The 15,087-nt window shown below is 42.2% G+C and overlaps 1 long non-coding RNA gene across 1 annotated transcript in view, besides 1 other annotated feature; it reads right to left on the bottom strand.

Annotated features, from left to right (window-relative positions):
- The window catches only part of LOC124903159 (uncharacterized), a 128,664-nt gene that overhangs the window by 91,208 nt on the left and 22,369 nt on the right, over positions 1 to 15,087 (bottom strand). The window lies entirely within an intron of this gene.
- Positions 3,720 to 4,014: a silencer, noted in NCBI's record as "tiled region #1712; K562 Repressive non-DNase unmatched - State 24:Quies". NCBI's record gives its function as "represses a minimal TATA promoter and a strong SV40 promoter by Sharpr-MPRA in K562 cells {active_cell/tissue: K562}" and the evidence as "EXISTENCE:reporter gene assay evidence [ECO:0000049][PMID:27701403]".

Here is a 15,087-nt window from a genome sequence, read left to right as displayed (position 1 = left end):
ATAAGAACAGCACTGAATCTATAAATTGCTTTGGGTAGTATGTCCATTTTAACAATATTGATTCTTCCTATTCCCCATGAGCATGGAATGTTTTTCCATTTGTTTGTGTCATCTCTGATTTCTTTCAGCAGTGTTTTGTAGTTCTCTTTGTAGAGATCTTTCACCTCTCTGGTTGAAATACCTAGATATCTTATACTTTTTGTGGTTATTGTAAATAGTATTACATAATTGATTTGGCTATCAGCTTGGATATTGTTGACATATAGGAATGCTACTAATTTTTGTACATTAATTTTATATCCTGAAATTTTGCTAAAGTTGTTTATCAGGTCAATAAACTTTTGGGCAGACACTATGAGTTTTCTTAGGCATAGAATCATCTTGTCTGCAAACAGGAATAGTTTGACTTTCTCTGTTACTATTTGAACGCCTTTCATTTCTTTCTCTTGCCTGATTGCTCTGGCCAGGATTTCCAGTACTATGTTGAATAGGAATGGCAAGAGAGGGCTTCCTTGTCTTGTTTTGGTTTTCTGTGGGAATGCTTCCAGCTTTTGCCCATTCAGTATGATGTTAGTCATGGGTTTTTCATAGATGGCTCTTATTATTTTGAAGTATGTTCCTGCAATACCTAGTTTGTTGAAAGTTTCTAACATGAAGAAATGTTGAATTTTATTGAAAACATTTCTGCATCTATTGACATAATCAGTGGTTTAGTTTGTAGTTGTGTTTATGTGATGAATTACATTTATTTATTCATGTATGTTGAACCAACCTTGCATCCCAGGGATAAAGTCTACTTGATGATGGTGGATTAGGTTTTTGATGTGCTGCTGGATTCAGTTTGCTAGTATTTTGTTGAGGGTTTTTGCACTGATGTTCATCAAGGATATTGGCCTGAAGTTTTCTTTTTTTGTTGTATCTCTGCCAGGTTTTGGTATCAGAATGATGCTGGCCTCATAGATTGAGTTAGGGAGGAATGTGTTTTGCTCAATTTGGGGGCAGAGTTCTGATAAAAATGGTATCAGCTCTTCTTTGTATAACTGGTAAAAATTCAGCTGTGAATCTGTCTGGTCCTGGGCTTTTTCTTGGTAGGCTTGTTATTACTGATTCAATTTCAGAACTCATAATTGGTCTGTTCAGAAGTTCAATTTCTTCTTGGTTCAGTCTTGGGAGGTTGCATGTGTCCAGTAATTTATCCATTTATTCTAGGCTTTCTAGTTTGTGTGCATAGAGGTGTTCACAGTAGTCTCTGAGGGCATTTTTTGTATTTCTTTGAGATTAGTGGTAACATTCCCTTTGTCATTCCTGATTGTCTTCATTTTGATGTTCTCTCTTTTTTCTTTGTTAGTTTAGCTAGCAGTCTATCTGATTAATTTTTCAAAAGAACAGATTCTTGGTTTTGTTGATGTTTTGTGTGGTTTTCACATTTTAATTGACTTCAGCTAGCTCTCATTTGGGTTATTTCTTGTCTTCTGCTATCTTTGGGATTGGTTTGCTCTTGGTTCTTTAGTTCCTCTAGTTATGATGCTAGGTTGTTAATTTGAGATCTTTCTAACTTTTGGGCGTTGATGTTTAGCACTGTAAACTTCCTTATAACACTGCCTTGGTTGTGTCCCAAAGATTCTGGTGTGTTGCTTCTTTGTTTTCATTAGTTTCAAAGAATTTCTTGATTTCTGCCTTAATTTCATTTACCCAAAACTCCTTAAGGAGCAGTTTATTGAAATTCCATGTAATTGTATGGTTTTGAGAGGTTTTTTTTTGTATTGATTTCTATTTTTATTGTGCTATGGTCTGAAAGGATGGTTGGTATGATTTGTTTTTTTTAACTTACTGAGGATTGTTTTATGTTCAATTGTGTGGTCAATTTTAGAGTATGTGTCATCTGGTAATGAGAAAAATATACATTCGGTTGCTGTGGGGTGGAAAGTTCTACAGACGTCTATTAGGTTCATTTGGTCAAGTACAGAGTTTAAGTCCTAAATATCTTGGTTAATTTTCTTCCTCGATGATTTGTCTAATACTGTCAGAGGGATGTTGAAGTCTTCCACTATTATTATGTGGAAATCTAAGTGTCTTTATAGGTCTCTGAGAACTTGCTTTATGAATCGGGGTGCTCCTGTGTTGGGTGCTTACATATTTAAGAGAGAATTAGGTCTTCTTGTTGAATTGCACCTTTTACCATTACGTAATGCCCTTCTTTGTGTGTGTGTGTGTGTGTGTGTGTGTGTGTGTGTGTGTGTGTCTGCGTGTTTATTTTTGTTTGTTTAAAGTTTGTTTTATATGAGATTAGGATAGCAACCCCAGTTTTTTTTTCTGTTTTCCACTTGCTTGGTAGATTTTTCTGCATTCCTTTATTTTGAGCCTATGCTGCCCAAGAGACAGCGTATCATTGTGTCTTGTTTCTTTATCCAGCTTATCACTCTGTGTCTTTTAACTGGGGCGTTTAGCACATTTACATTTAAAGCTAATGTGATATGATGCTGATTTGATTTTGCCCTCATGTTGTTAGCTGGTTATTAGGCAGACTTTTTTGTGTGGTTGCTTTATAGTGTCAATGGTCTGGTACTTAAATGTGTTTTTGTAATGACTGGCAATGGTCTTTCCTTTCCATACTTAGCACTACTTTCAAGATCTCTTGTAAGGTAGGTCTGGTGGTAATGAATTCCCTCAGCATTTGCTTGTCTGAAAATGACCTTATTTGTCTTTCACTTATGAAGTTTAAATTGGCTGGATATAAAATTATTGGTTGGAAATTCTTTTCTTTAAGAATGCTGAATATAGGCCCCCCCAATCTCTTCTGGCTTGTAGGTTTCTGCTTGTAGGGTTTAGCCTGATGGGGTTCCCTGACCTGCCCCTTCTCTCTAGCTACCTTTAACACTTTTGAATTTCATTTTGACCTTGGAGAATCTGATGGTTACATGTCTTGGGGATGGTATTCTGGTGTAGTATCTCACAGGAGTTCTCTGCATTTCCTGAATTTGAACGTTGGCCTCTCCAGCAAGGTTGGGGAAGTTTTTTCATGGATGATACCCTGAATATGTTTTCCAAGTTGTTTGCTTTCTCCCTTTCTCTTTCAGAGTTGCCAATGAGTTGTAAATTTGGTCTCTTTACACAAACCCATATTTCTCAGAGGTATTGTTCATTCTTTTCTAATTCTTTTTTCTTTATTTTTGTCTAAGTTCAGAGAACTAGTCTTTGAGCGCTGAGATTCTTTCCTCTGCTTGGCCTATTCTCCTGTTAATATGTGTGATTGCATTATGAAATTCTTGTAGTATGTTTTTGAGTTGTATCAGATTAGTTTGATTCTTTCTTCTAATGGCCATTTGTCTATCAGGTCCTGTAGCATTTTACTGGAATCCTTAGATTCCTTGAATTGAGTTTTAACTTCCTCTTGCATATTGATAATCTTCATTCCTATCTATGTTCTGAATTCTATTTCTGTCATTTCAGCCTGGTTAAGAACCCTTGCTGGAACTAGCGCAGTCATTTGGAGAAAAGAAAACACACTGGCTTTTTGAGTTGCCGGAGTCCTTGCGCTCATTCTTTCTCATCTTTGTGGGTAACTGTTCCTTTAACTGTGGTGTAATTTGAGTACAGTTGACTTCTTTTCTGGATGTTTTCAGAGGGCCCAGGCTTTTGTGCCAGTTGTTCATTCGTAGCTGATTCTTGTCCTTGGTTTCATGGGGATATATTATAAAGTATTTTTGGTGTTGATGTTTTGGGCTGAGATCCAGTAGGTGGCACTTAAGTGTAATGGCCAGTAGGTAGGTGCTTGTTCAGTCACGCGGCTCCTCTGTATTTCCTCAGGATTGGAGCTGTGCTCCCTCTCAGTGTTCTGAAAGTGAGGACTCCTCTCCCACTTGAGTGCTGGCTGCAGATCTTGGCTGGGCATTCCTGAGCTGCATACCACAGTCTAGGGTGATCTCAGCCAGGCTTTATGTTCTCTTCCCATCCTGGAGGCAGCAGGAGAAAGCAGCAGAGGGTCTTTCATTTGTCTCTTGGGGCTCCACAACAGAGACATGCAGAGCTGCTGTCAATCAGTGTGATCGGCCAAGGATGGGGCAGTAGTGCTATGGGCCCAAGCTGGGGGGCCTCTGCCTAGTGATGAGCAGGGGTGGTGGGTGGGATGCAGGAGAGACAATCTGGCCTCTTCTCCTTAGGGTGGCTGTGGCTTGCTGGATATGTGTTTAAACCATGCAGGGTCTTTGCTTCTTCCCTGGTCTTAGGGCAGCCAGGGCAGCACCACTCCCAGAGCCGCTGTTACTGGGAACATTCAGCCAGGGGTTGGGGTGGCTACACTGCTGCCCCAGTCTGGGGGCTCTGGCTGGTGATGGGTGGTGGGGGACAGGGGCTCACAGTAAGGAGAGAATTAGGCTTCTCTCTGTATGGTGATTGTGGTGTGCTAGAAGCATGAGTAAAGCCCTCAGGCTCTGTTCCTTCTCCAGTCCAAGGGCAGCAAAAGCAGGCTGCTGCAGCCATGGCAGTGAAAGAGAGGCCATCGGTTGTCTCTGGGAGCCACTCCCCAGGGAAACAAAGAGCCACTAGCAGTGGGTATGCTCAGCAGGGGTAGGCAGCTATTCTGTGGTCCTGAGCTAGGGGCCTGCCTGGTGAAGAGTCGGGTAGTACAGGGAAGAGAGACTGGGATCCTCTCCACATGGTGGCTGTGGTGTGCTGGAGGTGCTAGTGTAGCAACCAGGCTCTTTGTTCCTTCCCCAGCTGGAGAGCACCAAGGGCCTTACCACTGCAGCTGCAGTGGGAGAGAGGCTGTGGGTTGTCCCTGGGAATTCCTCCTCAGAGAAATGCAAAGCCACCACTGACTGAAGTGTTCTGATGGGGACAGTTGTGCTGAAGTCCTGGGTTGGGAGGCCCTGCCCTGTGAGAAGCAGGGGTGAAGACACATATGGAGAACAATCTGGCCACTTTTCCATAGCGTGGCTGCATTTTGCTGGGGGTCTGCACCAGACCCTAGTCACTGCCCACACCCGAGAGCCTGAGGGCAACAGGGGTGATGGCCGCAGAGCAGCAAAAATGGCAGCCAGCCTCTTCCTCTGGGAGCTCTATCCCAGAGAAGTGAAGAGCTGGTACCAGCCTGAGGGCCCAGGCAGGGCTGGTATGGCCAGGCTAGGGTCAGAGGCTAGTAGGCCTTATCCTGTGAACATAAGGGGTGGGGAGGCCTACAGTTCCTCAATGCTCAGCCCCTTTCATGCAGGCATGTGAGGAAGACTGACCTACTCCACTGCGGGAGCTGCAGCCACTACTGCCAGGATGCCGTGGGATCCAAGGCTCCCAGGACTCCATGTGTGCCTGAGTGGAGGCTCTGCCCAGACTCCATGTAGCTCTCTGTGTCAGTCTGAAGGCACCACATAGGGGATCTCCCCCCCAAGAGGCATGTACTGGGTACAGGGTTGCAAAGGTCGTGGCAAGGACTCTCACTCACCCATTTCTCCATGGTGAAGGGGACTGCCCCGGCTCCATGCCATTCCATGGCAGGCAGTCATCCAGTCTCCTTCCCCTTCATTGCATGGGGGTCAAATTGTTTCCTTGATGAATCCCAGTGTGTCCACCTGGATGTTCCAGTTGAAGAGCTAGTGTCCACTCACCACTCTTTCTTCTCTCCCTGTGAGCGGCACCCACCAGCTGCTTCCAGTCAGCCGACTCCTCTTTCAAACTTTTTTCTGCAGTTTCTTCGTCTCTCTCAGCCTTCATAGCATTGAAGAGAGTTAGGGCCTGCTCTGGATTAGACTTGGTTTAAGGGAATATTGCGGCTGCTTTAATCTTCTATCCAGCCTACTAAAATTTGATAAGAAAGGCTGCCTTGGCCAGGCACGGTGGCTCATGCCTGTAATCCCAGCACTTTGGGAGGCCAAGGCAGACCGATCAGCTGAGTCCAGGAGTTTGAGACCAGCCTGGGTAACATGGTGAAACCCCAGCTGTACAAAAAATACAAAAATTAGCCGGGTGTGGTGTTGCCTGCCTGTAGTCGCAGCTACTTAAGGGGCTGAGGAGGGAGGAACGCTTAAGCCTGGGAGGTCAAGGCTGCAGTGAGCTGTGATTACACCACTGCACTTCAGCCTGGGCCACAGAGTGAGACCCTGTAAAAACAAACTAACAAACAAAACACCACACAATAGGCTGTTTAGCTTTCTTATCATTTATGTGTTCACTAGAGGAGGAGCACTTTTAATTTCCATCAGGAACTATTTCTTAGCATTCAGAACTTGGCTATTTGGCACAATAGGCCAAGCTTTCAGCCTTTTTCACTTTTGACATGCCTTCCTTGCTAAGCTTAATCATTTCTAGCTTTTGACTTAAAGTAAGAGATGGGTGACTCTTCCATTCACTTGAACATTTTGAGGCTAGCGTAGGGTTATTAACTGGTCTAATTTCAATATTGTATCTCAGGGTATGGGAGAAAAACAGGGGAATGACCAGTCAGAGGAGCAGTCAGAACACACACAGCATTTATTGATTACGTTCACCGTCCTATATGAGCATACTTCATCATGCACCAAAACAACTAAAATAGTAACATCAAAGAGCACCGATCACAGATAACCATAACAGATATAATAACGAAAATGTTTCAAAGATTGTGAGAGTTATCAAATATGATACAAAGACACGTAGTAAGCAAACGCTGTTGGAAAAACAGCACTGATTGATTTGCTAAATGCAAGGTTGCCACAAACCTTCAATTTGCGAAAAATGCAATATCTACAAAGTGCAGTAAAATGAAATGTGATACAATGAGGTATGCCTGTAGCTGGGATTTATAGAACTGTCCAACGAGCATGCCTCTGTTGTTCTTCACTATGTCCTTAGTACCTGGTTTAGTGCCTGGCAGGGCACTATCAGATATCTGTTAAATAAAATGTGAGTGAATAAATAAAGGAATGAGTAAATGAGAATGAATGAATCCTTGATTTGATATAAATAACGTACAAGCAGTATGAGATAAAGTGTTCTCGCCACATTCTTTACTCAGAGACTGTGTTATCTGAAGGTCATGCTTTCTAGATCTCTGAGTGGCCTCATCTAATAGCATGGCCTTAAATAGCACCTATCCGCTGACAACTCCCACTCCAACTGGGCCTCTTTCCTGAACTTGCAGACTTATATATCTAACTACCCACTCAAACACTTCTACTTAAGTGTGTGTATAAGTGTGTGCACTTGTATGTGCACATTTGTGTATACACTTAATGTATCCAAAACTGAACTCTTGGTTTCTAATTATCCCCCTCAGCCCATCTCTCTTCTGTCTTATTCACATCAGCAAATGATAACTGCACATCACAGACAAAAATCTTGGTGTCAACCATGACTCCTCTCTCCTTCCCTCACATCCTATATCCAACTTAGCAGCAAATTTTGTTGCTCAGTCCTAAACTATATCCAGAATCCAACAGCTTCTTCCCACTCCAGCTAATCACTAATCCTTTAACACACACAGCATTTATTGAAGCAATTATCTTCTGGTTTGGACCATTGCAAGGGCTGCCAGATGTTCATCTGACTTCCACTTTCCCAACCCCCATCCCACATGACAGGGATCCCTGCAGAAACTAACTCAGATCATGTTCTGATCATACTGTTTTTTCCCATTCCTTTCCATCTTACTCTGAATAAAGCCAGGATTCCTTACCATATCCTGCAAAGCCCTACATGATCTGCTCTCCGGCTACTGCTCAGATGCCCCCTACTCCTTCTCTGCCCCTTATTATTCTATCACAGTAACACTGGCCACCTTGCTGCTTTTCAAAGCCACCAAAAATGGTCCCCCTCATGGCCACTGTACTTGCTCTCTTTTCTGGCTGGCACGTTGTTCATCCAGGTGTTAACATAGCTCTTCTCACTAAATTCATGTCTCACCTCATCAGATCACAGCACTGGCTCAAGTCACTCTCAGTCTTTTGACACTGCTTGATTTAAATTCTCATCGCTGATCCCCACTTCACATAATAACATTTGTATGTGCATCATTTGTTTGTTTTCTGCTGCTTTGCTGTGGACATAAACTCTGTGTTCACAAGTACTTTTTCTAGAACAATGCCTGATAGGACGCTGTTAATTGAACAAGATCCATGGCACTCTTTCTTATTCATCCTGAATATCTCATGCTTAAATTTGACACAAATCATTGCTCAATAAAGATCTATTAAATGGCCAGGCACAGTGGCTCATGCTTGTAATCCTAGCACTTTGGGAGGCCAAGGTGGGTGGATCAATTGAGGTCAGGAGTTCAAGACCAGCCTGGCCAATGTGGTGAAATCCCGTCTCTCCTAAAAATACAAAAATTAGCTGGGCATGGTGGCGCGTGCCTGTAATTCCAGCAGCTCGGAGGGGTTGAGGCAGAAGAATAGCTTGAACCTGGGAGGCAGAGGTTACAGTGAGCTGAGATCACGCCATTGTATTGCAGCCTGGGGAACAAGAGCAAAACTCCGTCTCAAGAAAGAAAGAAAGAAAAAAAAAAGAGAGACATGTTAAATGAAGCAGTAAATTCATTTTAGAAATAAATCCACTAAGGTGCAGTTAAAGCAATAGGACCAGATGAGATCCCACCGAGCCAGGTCGAGTCCAGCTTGCTTGTGCAGGTAGACAGCAGAGTCCAAGTCTATCTGAATCTTACCTCCAAAAGAGCAACTTCCTTCCTTGCCAGTATATGGCAGACAGCCCAGATGTATGTCTTGGACAAAGCTATGCTCTCAGTTCGTCTTGAAATGGACCAAAATTACAGTGGGTTAATGATTTCTGCAGAACAGTCTGACTTTTTAGGGTCTGGTTTGTTAGCATCCTCCTGACCATAGCTGAAGAGTCATTTCTCATGGAAAAATAACCTGCCTTGACAAAAAGTGGTGGAATGTTTTAGTCGCTTTACATTATCTACTACTTCCTTGTCTCTGAAGGTCATGCTGCCTTCATCTTACTGTGATCACCTCAAAACACACCAAATTGGTTATTTATGACATCTGTTTGAAACAAGCATTGTATTAAAAAGACAACTTAAAGAGTAGCCAAGGCCAGGCGTGGTGGCTCACGCCTGTAATCCCAGCACTTTGGGAGGCCGAGGCGAGTGGATCATAAGGTCAGGAGATTGAGACCATCCTGGCTAACATGGTGAAACCCCATCTCTACTAAAAAACAAAAAATTAGACAGGCGTGGTGGCGGACGCCTGTAGTCCCAGCTACTCGGGAGGCTGAGGCAGGAGAATGGCGTGAACCCGGGAAGTGGAGCTTGCAGTGAGCCGAGATTGCGCCACTGCACTCCAACCTGGGTGACAGAGCAAGACTCCGTCAAAAAAAAAAAAAAAAAAGTAGCCAAATCCTACTTTCAGGCTACACATGAATGTCTAGGACGCCAACCACTTTCTACCTTCTCTTTTCATGCTCAGTTACATATTCTAAGCAGCTATTCTCAGGAAAAGGCTTTCATCTTTAGAAAGAGTTTGTATACAACAAGTATCAACAATAGTAATAATTATCCTCTGAAATTATTCTTTCCCTGCCCAAAAAGAAGTTCAAGGATCTCCTGCTATCTGAAAATTAAATGTCAATGAAAAAAGAAATTTCTGTGAAAAGATATGCATAATGACCATCTATAAAATGTATATAGAGTCTTTGTTATAAGTAATGATCTACACAGTGACATTTTCTTCCTATAAATTGAAGTAAGATGGCCTCTCAGGAGAATTTTTGAGTCTTAACTTTTCCTATAGTGACCTGTGCCATATCGCAAAGCATGTGCCATATCACAAAGCATGCCATGTCACAAAGCTGGAGTAGTATCTTATTTTGTCTACAAATTCCCTTGAACCATAAGTATATGACTGGAAAAAAAGTATTTTTTAAAGCACATTAATAATTATCTTTAGATAATTTATGATATCTACCCATTACCACTAGATGTGAAAAACCATTTTTAAGAGTTAGTGGAGGGCAAAAAATGTATCTTCAGCTCCAATTTTATATGTCCTTTTCCTAATACCCTTTAGTGTGCTATAAAGCCATACACACACACAGTCACACAATCACACTCACACAGGCTCACACACTCACATACACACATATACGTCCCAGCAGGAGGAGTCCCTCACCTGATCTGGTCTTCTCAGGGACAGGATCCTATGCCCCTCGATGCAGTGACAGTTCAGAAATGGGCATGTTCTCAAGCAGAGCAATAAGAGTCCTTGTCTTGAAGAGATTTGTTTCAGACATTAAAAGAGAAACGCTCTCCCCTGAGGTGGCTAAGCTGGGAAGAACTACCTGCCCAGTATGTACAGGGGAAGCCCTGTTTGGTTGAAAAGAATGAGGGCTACTCAAAGGAAAATGCACCTGAGATATAGAACTGAAGGAGAATGGAGAGAGGCAGAATGAGAGTGCGATAAACATTCGTGATCCTGAATTAATATGTGCCTGTTCTCAGTTCCATCTCCATTCTTCTTGGGTACAGATGCCCTCATAGTAAGTTGGGTTAGGTCTGTGTTGCCACCAAATACACTGATCTTGGACAACTTTAAGTCTCTGAGCTTGTTTGTTTCTCTATAAAATGAATACATTAAGAAACCTAATTCAGAAAGTCTTATGAATAGTTCAATAAAGTGATATTCATCAACAGCTAATTTGAGTTATGGCCAGTAGTCTATGCTGGATAAATGTTACTTGCCCATTTCGTTTACTGAGCCTGATGGCAGAATGGTAGGTAGACATGGAAATGAAACTGGTAGTTCTTTTTTTTCTTTTAGAAGGAGTTTCGCTCTCATCACCCAGGCAGGAGTGAAATGGCGTGATCTCGGCTCAGTGCAACCTCCACCTCCCGGGTTCAAGTGATTCTCCTGCCTCAGCCTCCTAAGTATCTGGGACTACAGGCACGTGCCACCACGCCAGGCTTATTTTATTTTATTTTTTGTATTTTTATTTTTTGTATTTTTAGTAGAGACGGGATTTCACCATGTTGGCCAGGCTGGTCTGGAACTCCTGATCTCAGGTGATCTGCCCACCTCGGCCTCCCAAAGTGCTGAGCCACCGCACTCAGCCCAAACTGGCAGTTCTTATAAGGTTGTTATTTCTAGAAAAAATGGACGGTGGCTGGGCACAGTGGCTCACACCTGTAATCCCAGTACTTTGGGAGGCCGAGGCAGGTGGATCATGAGGTCAGGAGTTCGAGACTACCCTGGCCAACATGGTGAAACCCTGTCTCCACTAAAAATACAAAAATTAGCTGGACATGGTGGTGCGCACCTGTGATCTCAGCTACTGGGGAGGCCGAGGCAAGAGAATGGCTTGAACCCAGGAGGCAGAGGTTGCAGTGAGCCAAGATCGTGTCACTGCACTCCAGCTTGGCTGACAAGAAAGATTCCGTCTCAAAAACAACAAAAAAAGGATGGGAAGGCTATGCTAGATGGTGTCCAACTGCCCAAATCTGACCAAATCCCGGCCAGGCTATCCTGGGTCGAAACATTTCCAGAACTCTAGAACAGAGACAATAAAATGGCCTCCTAATACAAAACAATGCGCTCACAAAAATTTTCATTTTCTCCTGGAATTTCTTATTATCATATGGATGAGCACCAAAAAAGACACATCCAAACATTTAACTTGGAGACTCCAAATAGGTACCAATGCTGTTTGAAGTGGGAAAGGGGTTAGGAAGCCACTGGGAGAGATAAGAATACCTTTTACACATTTTTACAATATCTGGGTGAAGCCAGCAACACCATGAAAGTCCACACACTGGCCGCTGTGTTATCCACATGTGGGCAGCCTTCCCCCAAGCCATGATGGAATCTTTCTGTTCTTCTTTTAACAATAGCTTTTAATCCATGAAAGAAAGAACTCACCAGGTATATATGTTCTGAAAACTTTGCTAAATAGTGCTATCCATTATTTTACAATGCTTTACCAAGTCCTTATCTACTCAACATCTGTTTTTATTGGTATCAGATAATACAAGCAGATAATTTGCATTATATATATATATAATATATATAATCTCAAAAAGGTCTTCCTTAACATCACAGATCTAATCTAAATTAGATGACAAAATTGCTTGCTTCTGATATCATTTGTTGGTTTTGCCAGCTTGAGGGAAGTTGATGTTAACCAATGAATAAATGGTTACTCAAGCCTAGCTAGGGCCATGGGACAATGATGTCCTAGAGAAAGTTGGCATCTGAAATTCAGATCAGAGCTTGGCCTTTTCTAGGTTGAGAGAAAAGGCACCTGTTTCAAATTATCATTTATTTAAAATACACAGCAGAGGGAAGAAAATTATAAATTAAAACTTTATAGAATAAGTAATAAAATATTCACCCATATTACTGATTGTCCTAGGTATTCATGGATAGAATTAAGAACCAAACTTGTCCAGCATATTCGGTTTATCACCTTGAGGACAGGGATGGGGTCTTATCTGAGGAACAGTGCAGCACTGTGGTTAGGCTCCAGACCCCTGGGTTCCAATCCAGTGTGCCATTACTAGCTTTGTGATCTCATGCAGGTTCCTCATGTGCCTCAGTTTCCTCAGGTATAAAGAGGATCATTCTAGAGCCTTCTCACAGTGTCGTTATAAAGAAGAAATTAGATAAAACATGTAAATCACTTAGAACAGTGTCTGCCACACACAAACTGCTACATAATTGTTAACTACTGCTACCACTATCATTTTCATTGCTATCATCATTATTATTTGAGTCCTCCCAAAGCATGTACAACCATGTCTATCACATAACAATTGTTCATAAAATACGTGTTGGCTAAATGAATGTTGAACGGAAATTTCAAATCAAAGACACAGCTCTTGTTCTCCATTTGTCATTTTGTAGTGATTGGCTAAGGTGCTATATAAAAAGAACATGAACTTTGGTATCAGATGGACTTGAATTTAAACCTTGAATCAACAGCTCTTATACCCATATGAAAATAACGTGGCCTCTTGAGCCTATGTTTCCACAGGTTGTGACAATAAGTGTCCAGAACAATGTTTCATTGTAGATGCTTAATTGATATTTGTTCTCTCTCTGCTACCTCAAACACTAGTTACCAGTTGAAGAGCAGAGACACTAAAGTTTCTGGTATTTAGAAAAGAAGGAATTCAAGAAATCTGAATGATACCAGGCTGAAGAAGTCTGGGAAGATTTCTTGGAAAAGCTAACTTGGAAATGAATCACAAATGCTGGAAGGATGTCAGCATCAGGGCGGTGGGGGTAGGGAGGAATGGTGTCCCAGGAGCAAAGCCTCACAGCAGGAATGGGCACAAGGGTGGCCACTTTGGTGGGAACAGGAAGCTGGGTAAGAATTGGTTAAAGGAGAAGGTAGGCACCATAATAACATTAGTGAGTTGGAAATTTGAAAGTTTTCTTCAGGAAATAGGAAGTCCCCAGAATCCCTGAGCAGAGATGGGTGTACATGGGTGCTTGCTGGCCATGGGCACAAAGTGGAGACAAGATTGGCAGGAGGAGACTGCTTGAGGTGATGAGACACTTTTCACATTGTGGAGTGGAAAGGAACCACAGGAATAAGATGCATCATCTCTCAGCAGGGTCAAGCTACTGAGTATGAGGGAAGAGGGAGGAGAAGTAAAATGAAAGCATCATTCTATTGTCTTCGGTCTGGATGAAGTACAGGCAGGTAAATAGGAGAAGTGAAGATTTTCAGAGATCTGAACATTTCTTTGAGACAGAAAATAAGAATTTTCTGTATCTGTCCCAAAGACTTGTAAATTCAGAATGCTGGATTTATCATTTGTCTAACAGAGCAGGCTTCCAGTATCTGCACCAAGCAAGATACTAGCTAATAATTATAATTATAAAAATACATATTTCTTGGTTTTAACCCAAAATATCTGAGACATGTATCAGTCGATTTAGAAAGTTTATTTTGCCAAAGTTAAAGATGCATCCATGAAACAGCCTCAGGAAGGCCTGATGACATGTGCTCAAGGTGATTGGGAGTACAATTTGCTTTTATACATTTTAGAGAGATGTGAGACATCAATCAATATGGGTAAGATATACATTGGTTCAGTCTGGTAAGGTGAGACAACTAGAAGTGGAGGCTTCCAGGTTAGATGTAGATAAGAGACAAAAAGGTTTCATTCTTTTGAGTCCTTGATCAGCCTTCCGCTGAATACACAATTTAGTCTGGCTCAGCGAACCTGCATTTTTACGTAAACAATAGGTCAAAGGAAGCAATTAGATAACCTTTGTCTCAGGTGAGCCTCAGAGGGATGACTTTGAGTTCTGCCTGTTCTTTGTCCACAAGGAATTTTCTGTGGGCAAATTGTGAAGGAGGTACGTATCTTACCTTGTAGCTCTCTTATTTAGGAATGAAATGAGGGGCAGGTTTGCCTGACATAGTGCCCAGATTCACTTTTCTCTTGGCTTAGTGATTTGGGGGGTCCCAAGATTTACTTTTCCTTTCATAGTTTCAAGAAAGAACAAAAATTCAGCCTAAGCAAGTCAGAGCTACCTGTTACCAAAAAGCAGTCCAGGTCCAGACCCCAAGAGAGAGTTCTTGGATCTTGCACAAGAAAGAATTTGGGAAAGTCCATGTTGATAAGTGAAAGCAAGTTTATTAGGAAAGTAAGGGAATGAAGAATGGCTACTCCATAGACAGAGCAGCCCCAAGGGCTGATGGTTGTCAATTCTTATGGTTCTTTCTTTATTATACGCTAAACAAGGGGTGGATTATTACTGAGTTTTCTGGAAAAGGGGTAGCCAGTTCCCGGAACTGAGGGTTCCTCCCCTTTTTAGACCATATTGGGTAATTTCCTGACATTGCCATGGCACCTGTAAACTGTCATGGCACCAGTGAGAGTGTCTCTTAGCATTATAATTAGCCTGTAATGAGCAGTGAGAACAACCAAAGGTTAGTTTCATTGCCATCTTGGTTTTGGTGGGTGTTGGCGGGCTTCTTTATTGCACACTGTTTTATCAGCAAGATCTTTATGACCTGTATCTTGCACCAACCTCCTTTCTCATCTTCTGACTTAGAATGCCTAATTTAATAGGAATGCAGCTCAGCAGTTCTCAGCCTTATTTTAAGGCTGAAGAAAGTCCCAGCCCCTATTCAAGATGGAGTTGCTCTGGT

The sequence above is a fragment of the Homo sapiens genome, chromosome 13, assembly GCF_000001405.40.
Source record: "Homo sapiens chromosome 13, GRCh38.p14 Primary Assembly".
NCBI classification, from domain to species: Eukaryota; Metazoa; Chordata; class Mammalia; order Primates; family Hominidae; genus Homo; species Homo sapiens.
The sequence above is the reverse complement of the archived record's forward strand: the minus strand, read 5'-3'. Positions and strand labels throughout refer to the sequence as shown.